This window comes from Homo sapiens, chromosome 4 (genome assembly GCF_000001405.40).
Source record: "Homo sapiens chromosome 4, GRCh38.p14 Primary Assembly".
NCBI classification, from domain to species: domain Eukaryota; kingdom Metazoa; phylum Chordata; class Mammalia; order Primates; family Hominidae; genus Homo; species Homo sapiens.
In genome coordinates, this window is record NC_000004.12 from 168,242,349 (window position 1) to 168,261,315 (window position 18,967).

Consider the following 18,967-nt stretch of genomic DNA (forward strand, 5'->3'; position numbering starts at 1 on the left):
GCTTGCGCTGTGTGCCCGGAAAAGCCACAGACACTCAATGCCAGCCTATGAAGGCAGCCAGGAGGGGCACTATACCCTGCAAAGCCATTGAAGTGAAGCTGCCCAAGGCCATGGGAGCCCACCTCTTGCATCAGTGTGACCTGGATGTGAGACATGGAGTCAAAGGATATCATTTTTGAGCTTTAAGATTTGACTTTCCCACTGGATTTTGGACTTGCATGGGGCCTGTGGTGCCTTTGATTTGGCAAATTTCTCCCATTTGGAATGGCTGTATGTACCCAATGCCTGTACCCCCACTATATCTAGGAAGTAACTAACTTGCTTTTGATTTTACTAGCTCATAGGTAAAAGGGACTTGCCTTGTCTCAGATGAGACTTTGGACTGTGGAGTTTTGAGTTAATGCTGAAATGAGTTAAGACTCTGGGAGACTGTTAGAAAGGCATGATTGGTTTTGAAATGTGAGGATATGAGATTTGGGAGGGACCAGGAGTGGAATTATATGATTTGGCTGTGTCCCCACCCAAATCCCATCTTGAATTGTAACTCCCACAATTCCCATGGGTTGTGAGAGGAAACTGGTGTGAGGTAATTGAAACATGGGGGCGGGTCTTTCCCATGCTGTTCTCATGATAACGAATAAGTATTATGAGATCTGATGCTTTTAAAAAGAGGAGTTCCCTTGCACAAGCTCTCTCTCTCTTTGCCTGCTGCCATCCATTGTAAAACATGACTTGCTCCTCCTTGCCTTCTGCCATGATTGTGAGGCCTCCCCAACCATGTGGAACTGTAAGTCCATTAAACCTCTTTCTTTTGTAAATTGCCCAGTCTTGGGTATGTCTTTATCAGCAGCATGAACATGGAATAATACAATGATGAAAATGCCCAAAGCAATTGCAACAAAAGCAAACACTGATAAATGGGATCTAATTAAACTAAAGAGCTTCTGCACAGCAAAAGAAATGATCATCAGAGAAAACAAACAACCTACAGAATGGGAGAAAATTATCCATCCAACAAATGTCTAATATCCAGAGTCTACAAGGAACTTAAACAAATTTATAAGAAAAAAACAAACAACCCATTAAATAGTGGGCAAAGGACATGAAAGGACACTTCTCAAAAAAAGACATACATGCAGCCAACATATGAAAAAAACTCAACATCACCACTCATTAGAGAAATTCAAATCAAAACCACAATGAGATACCATCTCGCACTAATCAGAATGGCAATTATTAAAAAGTCAAGAAACAACAGATGCTGGTGAGGTTGCAGAGAAACAGGAATGCTTTTACACTGTTGCTGGGAGTGTAAATCAGTCCAACCGCATTGTGGAAGAGAGTGTGGAGATTCCTCAAAGAACTAGAGGTAGAAATACCACTTGACCCAGCAATTCCATTGCTGGGTATATGCCTAAAGAAATATAAATCATTCCATTATAAAGATATATGCATGTGTATGTTCACTGCAACACTATTCACAATAGCAAAACATGGAATCACTCCAAATGCCCATTAACAATAGACTGGATAAAGAAAGTGTGGTACATATACACCATGGAATACTATGCAGCTATAAAAAGGAATGAGATCATGTGCTTTGTTGGGACATGGATGGAGCTGGAAGCCATCATCCTCAGAAAACAAATGCAGAAACAGAAAACAAAACACCACATGTTCTCACTTATAAGTGGGAGGTGAACTATGAGAACACATGGACCCAGGGAGGGGAACAACACATACCAGGGCCTGTTGGGGCAGGGAGAGGAAGAGCATCAGGAAAAATAACTAATGCATGCTACGCTTAACACTTTGGTGATGGGTTGATAGGTGCAGCAAACCACCATGGCACATGTTTACATAACAAACCTGCACATCCTGCACATGTGCCTCAGAACTTAAAATAAAATAATATAAGAAGATGGAAAAAAAGAAAAAATTATTTGTCATACTTAATGGGTGCCAAATGATATGACTTCTTTGAGACAAGGCACTGGCACTACAGCCTATGGTATAGAGACAATATAAATTGACATTTAAAAAGTACATTATTATGATATAAAAGAGTGATGGATGGAGTAGTAAAGAATTTCAGGGGCCAGGTGCAGTGGCTCACGCCTGTAATCCCAGTACTTTGGGAGGCTAAGGTGGGTGGATCACAAGGTCAGGAGATCGAGACCATCCTGGTCAACATGGTCAAACCCTGTCTCTACTAAAATACAAAAAATTAGCCAGGTGTGGTGGCGCATACCTGTAGTCCCAGCTACTCAGGAAGCTGAGGCAGGGGAATTGCTTGAACCTGGGAGGCGGAGGTTGCAGTGAGCTGAGATCATGCCACCGCACTCCAGCCTGGGCTATAGAGCAAGACTCTATCTCAAAAAAGAAAAGAAAAAAGAAAGAAAAAAAAAGAATTTCAGGAAAACAAAAGTCCAGTAGTAGCAGAACTAAAATCCACATTTGCATTATGAAGAGCCATAACTGACACTTAAGACCATCAGTGATATGGAAGGTAAGTTTTATGTTTTCTCATAAAAAAAAATAGCAATGAAAAACAGAAAAGTGGGTTTCAATTTAAAAATTATAACTTTTCCTGAAAAAACAACAGAACAATTAACAGAAGCAAATAACAAAGATACAATTCAAGGATCTCTTCTTCATTTAAAAAATACCTGAGCATTGCATAGCAATATGAATGTACTTAACACTACTGAACTGTACACTTAAAATGGTTAAGATGGTAAATTTTATATGCATTTCACCGCAATAAATAAAAACCTGAGCATGAAGATTGAAAGGTCTCATATAATAACTAAAACATCAATTTTTAAAGGATCCATAAAATAGAAAATCATAGGAAATAAAACATTTGAAATAGAATAAAGAAAAAGATTCATATAATTGCATAAACAGAAAAAAATATCAAGTTAACTGCAAGAAAACAGAAACTGCCATGGCTCCTCTATGTAAAACATTAAATGCCAGAAGGCAACGGAAACAATCTTAGTTTGATTTGATGAATGAAGATAATAATATTCTAAGAATGTTATGCCCACTTTTAAGAGTCCCATATGTGAGAAGTTTACATGTGGGTCTTCCCAAATATGCAAAGCAAAGAAAATGAACCACCCTGATAACCATTTAAAAAAATAAGAAACCTTATTAGAAGATGTACTCCTCTTTATAGAGAGGTAAAAATGAAGAACTCAAGAATGGGGAAATTTTGGTCTTAAAAATGATGTATGACTGCTCTGTAGGATCAGCCAACTCATCAAAAGAATCCTAGAAGAATCCCCCCTTCAGAAAACAGTATCTGATTTAACTGGGCATGTTAATCACTATACAAAAACAGAAAGAACAGGTATCATTAACAATGCATCTCCATAAAGATGAGAATCAAATTATGTAATTATGAATTGTAAGTCTGTCATTGAGGGATTGGATACAAAATTTTTATCTGGGCAACACACATCAGGACACATTTACAACCATATTTTGAAGTTCAGTTACATACAACGATATCAGTGTTTAAAAATCAAATGCACACCCATGCCTAGAAAACTGGCTGAAAAAAAAAATGATAATGTGAATGTCTTTGGGGAGTGGAACAGGGGCACTTTTTCCTTATTTCAACGTTCTACATTTCCCACATACTCCTAAGTTTGAGTTACTTTTTTTATGAAACACTTAAACCTTTTTGTTACAAAATCATAAAAATAAATATTTTTTTCTTTCTAAATGGTAGAAAGGAGTCTATTAGTCACCTAGAGCTTTTTAAATCCATAGCCAGCACTTAACTATTATAGGACACTGCATTTCACACCTGAAAATAGTAATCCTGGGTAATTTTCAGTGCCCATCCAGCCACAAATTCCATGTCTGATGGTGGAAACAAACAAAACTGTTATTCTCCCTAGCTACCCCCAATTCTATACGATTCAAGACATTACAAAACATTAAAAGACTGATGAAACTCAAGGGTGATTGCTACAGACTTCTAAAAGAACAGCAGACCTGACTAAAGTCAGGCCAGTGATGAAGACTGAACCTCAGGCAGTGTCCAGCACGGTACCTTTGCCTTGGCATCCTCTGGGTCATCTCCCTTGGAAGCCAGCAGCATGAGTCGCAGGACCAGGGTTATGCTGAGAGGGAAGTGTCCTCTCAGCTCAGGAACATTGGATTTTATGAGTTTTCCTATTTTGGGGAATGGAATATCAAAGAAATATACATCTCCCATCAGGTCTTGACCTCTTCTTCCAGCACGGCCAGACATCTGAAAAGAGAATAGAATTACAATGTAAAACTTCCCTAAATGCTTCTACTGCCATAGTGTAAGAATGAGCCCTTTACTCTGGTTTGGAGCATGGAAATTGTGCATATGTCTAACCATTAAGGAACGGACACTAACATGCAACTACATAGTGCTTAGGAAATTTGCCATGACTGAGATAGATCTAAAAACTGAGACATCTGTCATCATTACGTACGTATTTCATGCCATTAATTGCAGTAGGCATTTGTGTAATATATATCAAAGAAATAATGATCTATTGAAGAAACAAAGAACACTGGCAAAGCAGTGATGTCAAAATCACTTACAGCTGAACTCTAATATACCAATTTTCTCTCCCGGCCCATCTTCCCCATCTCTCATCCCTTTTCTACCCTCTCTCACACACAAGTGTGTTGAGTTACAAATCACAAAATAAAATATGGGCACAAACAGAATAAATACATGAGTGAAATAAAATTCAGAAATGCTACTTGTGAAAAAGCAAGTTATGAATAAACTCTTTACAGAGCTTATGTTAACTCTTATTTATTAAGTGCTTAGACTATGGTAAGGCACTGGGAATGTAAGAGACGTACCCATACTGAAACAACCACAGAGTGGAAGATCTAGAACTCAAACCCTGACATTTCAATTCCCAAGTCCGTCATCCCACATATCAAACACCCTAGCTCAAGAGCCCAAAGGAGAAGATTCCCAAAAATGAGTCAGAAGAATTGATTCAGAGTATGGCAGCAGCAATAGAAATAAAAAGCAGGGGTTGTTAACATGCTGGGAAATGATATAAGAATGTTATATTGGGTAGGAACAAGGCCTATAAGGAGAACAAAAAGTGTTTAGAGATAAAGGGAGGGAAGCGCGTTGATAAAAACCTGCATGTGGGTGACATATCTAAATTTGATTCTGCGAGCAGAAATAATTATCAAATGTCTCTGAGCAGGGAGGTCGTATGAAGATAAACCACGTTGTCTGCAGGACGTGGTAGAATAAGGAGAATGGAGAATCAGGGGAATTGTACTAATAATACAAGGCTAAGAACGTACGATGAAAGATGGTGGATACAGAAATTGCAAGGCAAAAATCAAATACCTCTATGGGACAGTAATGAAGTGGGCTTGGTAACAGATTTGGTGTCAGGAGTAAAGATGAGGTCAGCATTAAAGATAATTCTAGAGTGCAAAATCTTGTGCACAGCAAATGAATGAGTAAATGCTTATCAAGCACCTTTGATGTCTATCTTCCATACAAATCACTTATTTAATTCTTGCAAATGCCGTGGGAGAGTAATTATTACCCATATTTTGGAGATAGAAAATGAGAATCAGGCAGTTCAGATATCTCATCCGAGGTCACACATCTGGTTAATCACACAATCCCAAATGCAGGTGCTTTCAACTATACCACAACTAAAACTGAAAGCCAGGCAAGGATGAATGTCCAGTTATGCTACTGTGAATTGTGGCATGTTTGTAAACTAAAGGTTCACATGTTTTACTACGCTATGGCCATATTTCAGCAATACAATAAGCAAGTTTATGCATTTTGCAATACCTGTCTATAATTCAACGCATCCAGATAGACTGAGTTTTGAGCAAAAACCACAGATTTACAAGGCATGTTGACACCTAAAGCAAGTGTTCCAGTAGCTGTCACCACCTTGAAAGAGAATAAAACAATTACTTCATAAAATAGCATTTTAATAGAATGCAAGTATTTCCTGTCATAAAGTTGCTGAAAAACTCTTTGAGCTTCAATTAAGCCACAATGGGAAAGCTAGAGAAACTAGACACATTGGTACTCTTGCTATTTCACAAACACCACAAGTACATTCCCAAATGCGCTGTTTGCTTTGCACAGAATATTCTTCCCCAAATATTCGTTTCTCTGGCTTCTTCAGCTGTCTACTCAAATGTCACAGAGGAATCTGTAGCTCACCACATCCAAAATAACCACCCCTACCATCATTATCTATCTCTGTCTCACATGATTTATCTTCATAGCATTAATGACTACCTCAATAATATTACTTGTTTGTTCACTTGTCTTATACCAGACTCCAAGCAAGATTCATTATTGTATCCACAGCATCCGTAAGAGTACCTGACAACTGATAGGTGTTCAGTAATTTTTTTTTTTTTTTGAGACGGAGTTTCGCTCTTGTCGCCCAAGCTGGAGTGCAATGGCACGATCTCGGCTCACTGCAACCTCCACCTCCCAGGTTCAGTCGATTCTCCTGCCTCAACCTCCCAAGTAGCTGGGATTACAGGCACCCACCACTACATTCGGCTAATTTTTGTATTTTTAGTAGAGACAGAGTTTCACCATGTTGGCTAGGCTGGTCTTGAACTCCCGACCTCAGCTGATCCACCCACTTTGCCCTCCCAAAATGCTGGGATTACAGGCGTGAGCCACTGCGCCAGGCCCAGTAAATATTTTTAAATGAATAACTAGAAAGAAAATTTTTTATGATAGGGCAATAATACTTTTACAAATCCACTTTTGGACAATTACCTATTTTGTCTACTAAAATTTGTTGAGATTATGCCTATGGAAAAAGCATACCTCAGTAATTTTAAAAAGTTGTCTTTCCCCCCTAAATTGTCATAACTGAGCAGAAAAGGAGCAGGACAAACTTAAAAGTTTACTTAGATAATCCTCTTTTCATATAATGCTGGGTATTTCTAATCATCTTCTCTTTCTTTTTATATTGATTGTCATACATGCCAATGGTTAGTATTAATGTTTAAGTATACGGAGTGATTTTCTGTAATTATTCTGTAACTGAAATCTATATATCTGCGAAAATGCAACACATCATTTATTACCTGTTTTTCTCAAGTTTTTTGATAAGAACAAAAATGTAGAAAATAATAATACATTTAGAAAATAACTAGAATAAATACCTTTTTAAAAAATGTTCTCTATAGCAAAGCTGTCACTATTTTCATAGTACCTTTTGTGGAGTGATCTCATTAACCTATTAGTAATTGAGCAACTACTATTTAACAGGTACTATTTTAAACACAGAATACCCTGATCAAAATAGGTGTTTCTCTCTTCTATCAATTCATAAGCATGTAGAAAATATTGTACGTGGTTATTAGCCTTTAAAAGAGATACATAATTTGTTATTAGTTAAGAGAAAAGCATAGCAAAGTTGCAAATGCTACATCTTATTTTTTTTTTCAGGGAATAGGATTTTTAACTATGATGTCAGATTTTCCTCAACATTTAGTTTAAAAGATGCTACCTAGAGTAGCAGAAACAATCTCAATCTCTTTGTCTTTCTTCCTCTCTCTCTTTTGTGAATGTAATATATGTCATACAAAATTCAATGTGAATAATTTTTAAAAGTCAGTCTATTTTTGAATATTACTAAAGATCCAAATTTACAAGCAAACCATATAAAGCTCCTTCATGAATTTATCCAGAAAATCCCTGCGCACTGTCATGGGACACACTACACAAAACATAGCAAGACTTCAGTTTGAAAGTTATTTTAGTATTCCTTTTGTTCATTATCACTGATAGGAGAGAGAACATAGATATATTTCATGGTAGAAAAATTTGCCAAAGTATTTATTTAGGAAATATTTTTATTCTCATGAAAAAGAGATAAACTAGGCCTTGTGCAGTGGCTAACACCTATAATCCCAGCACTTTGGGAGGCTGAGGCAGGCGGATCACCTAAGGTCAGGAGTTCGAGACCAGCCTGACCAGCATGGAGAAACCCCATCTCTACTAAAAATACAAAATTAGCTGGGCATGGTGGCACATGCCTGTAATCCCAGCTACTCAGGAGGTTCAACAACAAACAAACAAAAAGAGATAAACTGAGTAGTACATTTCAATCCCCTTTTCAATTAAATAAGACAGAGGATATCATGACTTTTTTTTTTTTTTTTTGAGACAAAGTCTTGCTCTTGTCCCCCAGGCTAGAGTGTGATGGCATGATCTCGGCTCACTGCAACCTCCACCTCCCGGGTTCAAGCGATTCTTCTGCCTCAACTTCCTGAATAGCTGGGATTACAGGCACCTGCCACCACGCCCGGCTAATTTTTGTATTTTTAGTAGAGGCAGAGTTTCACCATGTTGGCCAGGCTGGTCTCGAACTTCTGACCTAGGTGATCCGTCCATCTCGGCCTCCCAAAGTGCTGGTATTATAGGTATGACCCATCACGCCCGGCCAACTTATTTTTTTAAAAGACAATTACATGAGAAAAAAAGAAAAATGGTGGTTGTATTCTTTACTTTTCCTGAACATTCAGCTTGAAACAGTCACAATTTCAATTTTTAGAATGAAGAAAATTCACCTACCCTAAGATATCCTTTTCTAAAGAGGATTTCAACTAATTGTTTTTCTTTGAAACTCATAGCACTGTGATGATATCCAATACCCCTTTCTGCCAAGGCTTTCAATTCTTCACCTTTTCTTTCAAATTTTACTCGACCAAATACCTTCTGCAAAGTCTAAAAGAAGCAAGACATTTAGGGATTATGATTTAATTTTAATTATAATTAAAAATGTCTAAATGAAAATAACATGCATACTATGTAATAATTTGGCTAAACAGGCAACTATTTGAAACTGACTCTACATGAATACAAAGAACATTATGGCAGCAACAGTAACTACAAGAAAAATCTTCCCACTTCTTTGGACAGACCATCTTAAACTGTCTTACTCCACTTCTGGGGCAGAAAATTTTGACAAAGTAGCAGATAAAACACCAAGTGGTGGTGAGTGCATGACTGCTCTTGCCTGAGGGATATCAGTTGGCTATTGGAGCCTCAGGAGTTTTCCCCAACAGGGAGAATTCTCCAAGAAGGCAGAGGAGGTTCCTTACCCTATGTGGTCCGGGAATGCCTACTTCCCATTGAAACTGAGCACAAATGGACTTAAAAATATCCAGGTCTTAAAGAAGAAATACGGTTGTGTCCAGAGATACATGGACAAAGATGAACACTGCTTATGAAGGAAGAGCGACAAAAAAACGCTTCCAAAAGCAAAAGGCTGGTTAGTGGTTACTTCAATTATGTATTCACTCACACAACAGAATATCAAGTATTCATTAAAATGATGATCGAAATACATGGTTATAAAAAATAAGACACCATGAAGCTTACAAAAGAAGGTGCACAATAGAATGATACATATATGTGTACACACATACGCAAAATGTATGTAAGTTTGTATGTGTATAGTCACAGGAAAATGAGATAAAAGGTTGGTCTGGAAGGGCAGTGAGTACTATGAGTGATGACATTGATTTTATTATTACTATATTTATATCTTCAAATTTGTCTACTATAAGCATGAGTAATTTGCATTTTAAAAGGTTTCTGCATACCAGTTTTAGCTATTCCAATGCCTCTTTGGTGTTTTAGCTATAATGTAAAAAGCCCCTGATTTTGAGAAATTCTGTGAATATTACTTAAAGTGTATTGGACCACATGCACCCAAATTTTCAAATGCAGCATGTGAAATTGAAGTCTAGAATTCAGGCTGTGGAAACAATGTAATAGAAACAAATAACGAAACGGCAAACATTTTCAGAGGTGAACTGTTAACAGGCAAGAAATAATCTACAATTGCTAAATCTGTTGCACAGGTATCTCAGTGTGTGCTACTAGGGAATTTGACCTAGGAGACTCCTCCATGAACCCTGGCTTAGACTATTATGTCCTTTTTAGATATGCACTGCAGAGCATTCAAGAGTGATATGTAGCTAAAGGAGAGTTCTCTTTTGGTAGGGATTGTATTAATTATGTATTATATTATGCATATATCTTATTAAGCATTATCTACAACTAACAAGCTATGGCTGACAAATGAAATAGTTTGGAGAACGATCAGGTTGTAAGTGCTGACCTCAGTGTCCACTGCTTTTTGATCAGCATATGTGCAGTCCTGTGGGATTTCCAGGTTCTTCTCTAGACACTTCACTAGATTATCATGTTCAGCTTCATGTATTAGGCTTTGATCCACATTTCTGGTTTTTTTCTGGCTCTTTTCATCTCTGTTCATAAAAATAAAATTTTAATTAATGAAATTGTAAATAATGAATGAAGTAATTAATTTGATTTGGCCACCAGAGGATGCCCAAGACTTCCCAAGTCAGTCTTCTCACCCAGACTTCCACGGCTGTGCATCTTTATTATTTTATTTTATTTTATTTTATTTTCAAGATGGAGTCTTTCTCTGTCACCCAGGCTGGAGTGTAATGGCGTGATCTCAGCTCACTGCAACCTCCACTTCCTGGGTTCAAGCAATTCTCCTGCCTCAGCCTCCCGAGTAGCTGGGATTACAGGTGTCCACCACCGCACCTGGCTAAATTTTGTATCTTCAGTAGAGACGGGGTTTCACCATGTTGGCCAGGCTTGTCTTGAACTCCTGACCTCGTGGTCCACCTGCCTCGGCCTCCCAAAGTGCTGGGATTACAGGCATGAGCCACCGTGCCCGGCCTGCTGTGCATCTTTAATAACTCAGTCTTCCTCTAATGCCCTTCCTTTTCAGCCTCTGGATGTTATGATCCATCATGAGAAAATTCTATCACATATTGATATTTTCTGGGATGTTCCTTTTCCTTCTGGCTGTAGTCTTGCCAAACCCAGTTCTCCCAAGATAACTCTGTTTCTCCTTGTTAAAGTGATGATCATTTTCTCTTCCTCGGCCTTCATGACCCTGGGCTTGGATGTAAGGTAGGCATTCTCCTTGCTCCACATTGCCAATTCTAGTCATTCTCCTTCCCTCCTTGTAGTGGATGCTACAGCTGCTTTGAGTTGGGTTGCTAAGGCTCTCAGCTGCACCATTCCCTGGACAATTGCCCTAAACTGACAGAGGCCTCTTGGAGATGCCTGGGTGGTTACGACCTCTCCTGGGGATGGGAAATAGCCCACACCCAATGTCTGAGTGACATGAAGTATAAAAATCAGCCCCCTTGACTCAAGGTGGGGCAATTCTCTGGTGTCCTGGCATTCCCAGTAGGGTTAGAATCAGGCTATATTCTAGCAGAAGCCACATTCTTGCTTTTCTTCACCTTCCCTTTCTTGCTTCGTTCATTTTCTCATAGGTCCCTCATGAGCACACACCTTCAATAAATCCCTTCCACAGATATCCTCATCTCAGTGTATGCTACTAGGAATCTACCTAGAAGACTCCTCCGTAAACCCTGGCTTAGACTATTGTATCATCATACTGTGTTGTCCATCCATCACCCCTCAATGTAACATGCACCCAAGTCACTTATCACTTATTTGATTTTTTAAATTTTTCTCTTAGCTGTGCACGGAAGACAATTCTAAATATGAGAAGATGTGCTCACTTGTATGTCATCATTACGTGTTAAGTAACGTTACCTTTAACTCAGGGGAGAACGCTCTGACTATGGAAGGGCCTGGCCCTAAAATTTGCAGAGCATGTGGCAAAGCTCCACATATTATTGCCTCACTGTAAGTTTTTAGTCAAGGTAATAAACCGTCAAATAAAATAAATTCTATCCACCTACCTTGACAAATATAGCTCCATAATAACCTGGAATTCAAGGGTGAGAATGAGCTCCGGGTGGGCATGTCTCCTTAGCTCCACTGGCCCCTTGCTTTATGGGAATGGATGCAGATGGAAGAGGCCAGAGTGGGACTATCTAAAGGGTCCCCTCACCCTCACTTTATTTTTATAACTTGAAGTCACTAAGAAGGCTTACACCTCCTATGCTGTCCCTGGGTTTTTACCTCCCATGCTTCTAAGGAAACAGAAAAATAGGTAGAGGAAATATAAGCAGAAGGATCAGCAGCAAATTCTAGTTTGCTCTAGAATTTGGAAAACCTAAATCAGAAATGCTCTAAAAGCTGTTTCAACTTGGAGAGAAATATCTTTCATTCATTCAAATATATTTATGGAATAATATTACCTGCCAGGTAATGTGCTAAGCACTAAAGACACAAGAAGAAAAATACACGGTTCCTGTTGAAAAGGAACTTAAAATTTAGGAAAAAGAAATACATATAAACAACAATACATTACAATAATTGATCTACTAGCTATTGAAAGTGTAGAAGAACATAGGAGAGAGGGTAGAAATTCTAACTGCAGGAATCAAGGAAAGATTCAGAGATGAGATACCAAAAAGGGAGCAATCAGGAAGGAGGGCACTCAAGGCAGATGGGTCAGTTCATGGAAAGGAAGAGGTAGAAAAGTAAGTCATGTGAGGAGAATCATAAATATTGAGTATTGGTAGAGGAGAGTGGTAGGAAGTGAGACTGATCGAGTTAAGGCAAATACCAAAACATTTTGGCATAATGGTAAAGAAGCTTAGACTTCATCAGCTAAGCGAGGGCAAAGGAAGAACATTGAGCATGGGATAATTTAATCAATTCAAATGTGTGCAAGATCATTTGTTGACTGGATTGGAGAGTGGTGAACCTCAAGGCTCTCAAGTCCAAAAAAAACACCTCTGTGATCATCCAGGCAAGATATGATGAGCTTCTAAGCCAGGAAGTTACTTAAGATGGAGAGGATCATAGAGAGGGGATAAACATTTTGGCCCTAGAGTTGACAGAATTAGACATTGAGAGCAAGGAAGAGATGTTATATTAGCTAAGTCTTTCCAGGCATCAAATCAGCATTTCCATCCATTCTCAAGTTCTTTTTATGATCACTCACAAAACTGTGATGTTATATTAGTGAGACTTCTTTGTCATGACCAAAGACAAAGTGTGTAGTCTATATTTAAACCTTCTGAGAACTAAGTGATAGCCAGAGTTCATATATGTATCAAAGATGTGCTTATTGTGTAGGATGATTATGTCAGGTTATAAAATCTACCTAGGCTGACAGGCTGTGGTTCTACCTCTCCCAAGTCCTAAATGAGGCTGATTGATGCAATTAAGGAATGAATGTACAATTATGGTCACTCATCTTTATCCCATTCTCTCACCCAAATGTACTCAATTTAGAAATAAGTCCAAGCGACAACTAGAACTTATTTATAGAACATATTCAATTTACGTTTCCTACTAGGACTTGGGGAGTATTTTAACCCTCTACTTATCAATTTGTTTAGTTAACTACTTACATGATCTTTTGTTTCTCTATGGATTTTTTAACTTTTCGAAGTTTGTTAGCCATGACATGGGCTTCTTTATCAGCTTTGGGAGGCCTTTTTGTCTCCTGCTTTTTCTTTAGGAAAGTGCTCACACTTTCAGCTGCGTTTTCTACAGCTCCTAACTTGAATCTGGAAATAAAAAGAATGTGCGCCTTGAAAATAACATCATAAATACAATTCAAAACCATATTTCCATCTACTACTATCATCCCGACATCTGCCTGTTGGGTTTTTAATACCCACCTTTATAAATGTTACCCAGAATGTGCACACCAGGTGTTCTGAATCAGCAGACTCCTTATTAACTACCTTATAGTAAATAATGTTGCCTACCCTCCCCTTCTCCCTCCCCACTCCCCCCCACCCCACCCCGCCACCCAGACATTACCCCTGGGACAATGCAATCAGAACTCGTGGAAATTTTTCCTCTAAGAGTAGTCAAATATTCCATAAGCAAGGAACAGAGAACAATGGTTTTTCTCCGTTTATCTCCATTTATATGCAGAAGACAGATAGCTATCCCCAACACCACCCTTCTCTAAAAATGAGAAAAAAAAGATTAATCAACAAAAAATTGTTCTTTTGGTAGAAGGTGAGAACCTATGATTCTTTCCCAAAGAATAAACCCTAGTTGTTGCTGGACTTTGCAATGCAGAAATGTCTCCAAGGTCTGGGCTTTATACTTCTTGAAATGTAAATACCTAGGAATATAGTGATCCATACTTCCTGGCACCCTGGGGCTCAACCTAGCAACCTGGTCTAGGTTGGCTTTCTCAGATCTGAGCAATTAGCTACAAATTGCTAGACATTTATAGACAAATGGCTGCAGATCAAATTCTCCTGATACATGAAAAGTAAAATGTTTCTAGAGGAAGTAAAGGCAAACATTTCCTATGTTTATTTCACATGCATTTCCCTGTGTCAAGAAGCTAGGGCTTTTTACAGGAGCACTGAAAAGCCCAGGGAGGTCTTATTTCTCCACTGCATCTTGGTGGCAAAATGCTGTGGCTGCAAGTAGCCAGTAGCTATTGCCACTATATTAACCATAGCTTATTATAGCAAGTCATAGATTTGGTTTGTATAATAAAGCTTTTTAAATCTATGTTGTGAAGCAAAGGGCCTTTCTAAAGTTTTTATAGAGCTAACATCAAAAGGAAATGTGTTTAGCTACTAAACAGTAAATAAACTGGCACACTGGTGAAGTAAGAATTTTAAAACTGAGAGTCTATGCCACATGGCAAGAAATTTCATATAGTAGACAATAAAATAATGGTAATAGTAAAATTCAAGTTATACACAGTTGGCCGGGCATGGTGGCTCATGCCTGTAATCTCAGCACTTTGGGAGGCCGAGGTGGGCAGATCACCTGAAGTCAGGAGTTCGAGACCAGCCTGGACAACACAGTGACACAGAATTCAAAAATGAGCTGGGCGTGGTGGCACATGCCTGTAATCCCAGCTTGGGAGACTGAGGCAGGAGAATTGCTTGAACCTGGGAGGTGGAGGTTGCAGTGAGCTGAGATTGCACCACTGAACTCCAGCCTGGGCGACAGAGTAAAACTCCATCGCCCTTCAAAAAAAAAAAATTATACACAGTTGTCAGGCATTATTCTCAGTGACTTCAGTATGTTAACTCATTTAGTACTCACAACAATCCTATGAAGAAGGCACTATTAATATTAATATTTCTATTAATATCCTTATTGCCAGATTCAGTGACCTGCCCAAGAGCCCACAGTTTATATGTGGCAGAGTCTGGCCTGCAGGCCCCTGTTCTCAAATCCTGTTTTTAACTGACATATGTTGCTTCTCTTTTTACATTAATGCAAGTTACTGGGGCCTAGGAATATATTACTTTTTAAAATAGTGTCACTTTCATCATAGCACTTCATTTTTAAAAAACTCTTGTTCAAAGATCACTTAGAAATAATGTTGCCTCTTAAATCTCTCTGATAACCTACATTTTATGTCAACCAAAACAAAACCAAAGAAAAAATATCTCCAAATATGTTGACTATATTTGGAATTAGAAATGAGAATTATAACCCAAGATGCACAGCTATGGCAAGCCACATATGTATCTGAAGGGAGGAAGATAAAAGGAAGCTTGTACTGGCAAAAGGGGAAGTTCACATAAGCTGCTTAGAAACACAGTTCTTTGGTTTTGGAGACGCAAAACCAGAGCTGGCATCAATTTATCGGTGGAGATGCCATTACTGGGTGGGTGTTCTTTCAAGGGCATCTTATCTGAATTGCTTCAGCAGTAAATAAAGAACTGCCTGTGGGATTATTTTAGAAAGTCCTTGAGACAGTTTATCTCAGCCATGCAAGCATGAACAACCCGCCTTCATGCTCTCTCAGCTCCAGTCTGTTTGGATCTGACAAAAAGGGATCATCCTGGTATACAAGAATGAATGCGACCTAGAGATTAGACCTTATTCAATAACATTTTTGTAGCACTGTACTAAGTGCTTTCATAACTTATGTTTATTTAATTCTCACTCCAATCCTTTGTACTATTATTCTGATCATCTCATTTTGCAAATAAGTAAATTAAGGCTTAAAGTCATTAAGTAGCTGTCCAGAAATAACACAATTCATGGGGGCAGAGGTGGGATCCAAGTTTGGGTCTGGCCATGAAGTGTGTGCCCTTAAGCACACACTGCCATTGCCATCAAACACTGAATATGCTCCATGTATTTTTTTTTTAAGAGATCAGACTGCAAAAGGCTTAAGGGTACACTACTATTTGAAAAGCTCCTAGAGGTAAAACTTGAGCCCAGAAAAATCCTCAGATCTCTTGATGATCTGGGATCAAATTGTGTAATACCAAGGATGTTCACAGTTTATTTTGTAGAGAATTCAAGAGTCATATAAACATGCCAAGCTTCAATTCTTCAAGTATAATTAAACTTTTGATGTTTTCTGAAATATTTTAGTTTTAAAATATTTTAAGTATGTGAAGGATTTTGGAACATGCTACTCCCAAAATATACCACTCTGGCATATTAACTATTTTGAGTTGAAAGCACTAGAAAAAACAGCAGGGTCAAGAAGATCACTCTGATCTTCTTTCTTTTTCTTAAAAGTAGCAGATTAAATGCCCACAAAAATATGTTTTCATACCCGAAGGACAGTAACACTCCTATCTTCAAAGATGGGAACTTGAAGACAAGGGAAATCTATACTAAAAAACCTTGTTAAACTAACTCTTACCTTCCTAGTCACATCTTCACCCAAGTTACCCTAGCCTACACCCCTTTACTTTGTCACATTTTTCACAATTTACCACTCTTTGTCCAATTCACTATGTAAGTGTCCAACTCTAACTGCATCGTTGGGTTTTCAACTCCTTATGGAGCCTTCTGCACCATATAAAACATACTACATACATGTGCATGCTTTTCTATTGATTTGTCTTATATCAGTCTAATTCTGAGGCCCAGGTAAAAAAGCCTAAGGTGGTAGAAGTAAAATTTTGCCTCCCCTATATTTGTATGAAGGTATGAATAATAAACAGATATTTTTCAGTTTCTGTTTTGCAGTGAGGCTTTCAGAAATATCCCAGAGGTACAGAATTACTTTTGTTTCTAATTACAGTCTATAGCCACACTTGAAAGTGAAATGGGTGAGCTTTGTAAATCCTTGGCAGTGCAGAAATGTATTTTCCTTATCCCAACAACAAAGATAAAAGGAGTAATATTATTGCAATCCCCCAAATTTGCAAACACAATCTTACATTCACCCATCATCGTTATTTCAGAAATATATCATCAATGATTCATCCCTATATGTCTGTTTACATGTGAGCAAGTTTCATTAAACTTTTCCACCTAACAAAGACTCTGGATTTATTTACTTCAGCTTCCATGGCTTAAGTGTAGCTTGAAATTGCCCAAAGTAAATAGAGTATTGTGTTCTAGTCCCAAACTATGTTACCAAAGTTAATCCAGGATCTAGTATGTTATCCATTTAATAAATTATACTTTGATGTCCAACGAAATTGCACTATTTTGTTCAATTTTAAGCTATTTGATACTATAATATATAAAATTTAGCAAGATATCAGTGTATCTGGATCAGAGTTCTCATTACTATAAATTAAATATAATAAAATACACTGTCAATAAGTAGTATATTGTGAAGATACTTTAATTTTATGTGGGATACTTGTGTGCATATATATTCAATTTGTTTTGCAAAGAACCTTTATGTATTAAAAATTAACAAGGCTAAATAAAAAATAATAGTTTACAGTAGAAAGAAAACAAAAAATAGAGTAGCAAACTAAATAAAGAAGGTAATTCATAATAGCACAAATACAAATATAAGAATTGAACTAGAAAGTTGTATTTTTTTCTATGTCGTCTTTAATTTCTTTTTTTAAAATTATACTTTAAGTTCTAGGGTACATGTGCACAATGTGCAGGTTTGTTACACATGTATACATGTGCCATGTTGGTGTGCTGCACCCATTAACTCACCATTTACATTAGGTATATCTCCTAATGCTATCCCTCCCCTCTCCCACCACCCCACAACAGGCCCCGGTGTGTGATGTTCCCCTTCCTGTGTCCAAGTGTTCTCATTGTTCAATTCCCACCTATGAGTGAGAACATGCGGTTTTTAAACAAAACGTATGTATTCAAATAACCAATGGGTCCCAGAAATAGTAATGAACACCGCACTACGATAGGGAACTTTGTATAACACCCCTCACCTTAAAGCAGCAGTCCCCAACCTTTGTGGCACCGGGGACTGGTTTCATGGAAGACAACTTGGCAGTGGGTGGCGGTGGGGAAGTGGTGCACAAGGATCGAGGGGGATGGTTTCAGGATGAAACTGCCCCACCTCAGATCACCAGACATTCGTTAGATTCTCATAAGGAGCATGCAACCTAGATCTCTCACATGTGCAGTTCACAATAGGGTTGATCTGACAGGAAGTGGAGCTCAGGCAGCAATGCTCGCTGGCCCACCACTCACCTCCTGCTCTGTGGCACAATTCCTAACAGACCATGGGCTGGGCCAGTGATGGTCTGTGGCCTGGAGGTTGGGGACCTCTGCCTTAAAGGAATGAGTCTAATACAATTACAAGCAAAACCAAATTAAATTAAATAACTTACAAAAAAAATAGTGCAGGTAACTTCTCCATTTTCCTTAGTTTTTCAACTAGAAGTGGAAACATGGTGATCATGTTTTCTGGACTCAAATCTGCTTCAGGACTAAGATTCTGAAGTACCATTCTGGCCTGTAGTGGTGAATACAAAACAATTTTAAGTTCTGCATGAGAAAGAAAGAAATTACTACTTTTTGCTAAAATATTTTCATAGTTGTCTAATATATGTTTTTGGGTTTTTTTAAAATAGTCCTATGAAAGTACATTATAAAACGAGGCAAAGAACCATCAAAGAAACATACAAACCCATACACTAGAGAACAAAAATTTGGCAGTAATATATACACACATATGCAATTTAACCTGCAATTTTTAAGACAATACAAATCAGGAATAGAAGGATTTTTCAGCAAATGATGCTGGTTTCACTATGACAGGAGGGCAAGTGTGAATCAGTT

General features: G+C 38.1%; 1 protein-coding gene across 5 annotated transcripts in view; it reads right to left on the reverse strand.

Moving 5' to 3' along the window:
- DDX60 (DExD/H-box helicase 60) overlaps positions 1–18,967 on the reverse strand; it is a 109,686-nt gene that overhangs the window by 26,055 nt on the left and 64,664 nt on the right. For 4 of the 5 annotated variants that reach the window (XM_024454132.2, NM_017631.6, NM_001410861.1 and 1 more), the window contains 6 exons: positions 18,517–18,641; positions 13,363–13,521; positions 10,161–10,308; positions 8,606–8,758; positions 5,840–5,944; positions 4,070–4,270 (listed from right to left, as the gene is read on the reverse strand). In XM_024454132.2, the coding sequence (XP_024309900.1) occupies positions 4,070–4,270; positions 5,840–5,944; positions 8,606–8,758; positions 10,161–10,308; positions 13,363–13,521; positions 18,517–18,641 (891 nt within the window). Of the gene's footprint in view, positions 1–4,069; positions 4,271–5,839; positions 5,945–8,605; positions 8,759–10,160; positions 10,309–13,362; positions 13,522–18,166; positions 18,169–18,516; positions 18,642–18,967 lie in introns of those variants that run through there. The other variant, XM_011532104.4, reaches the window with a different exon arrangement.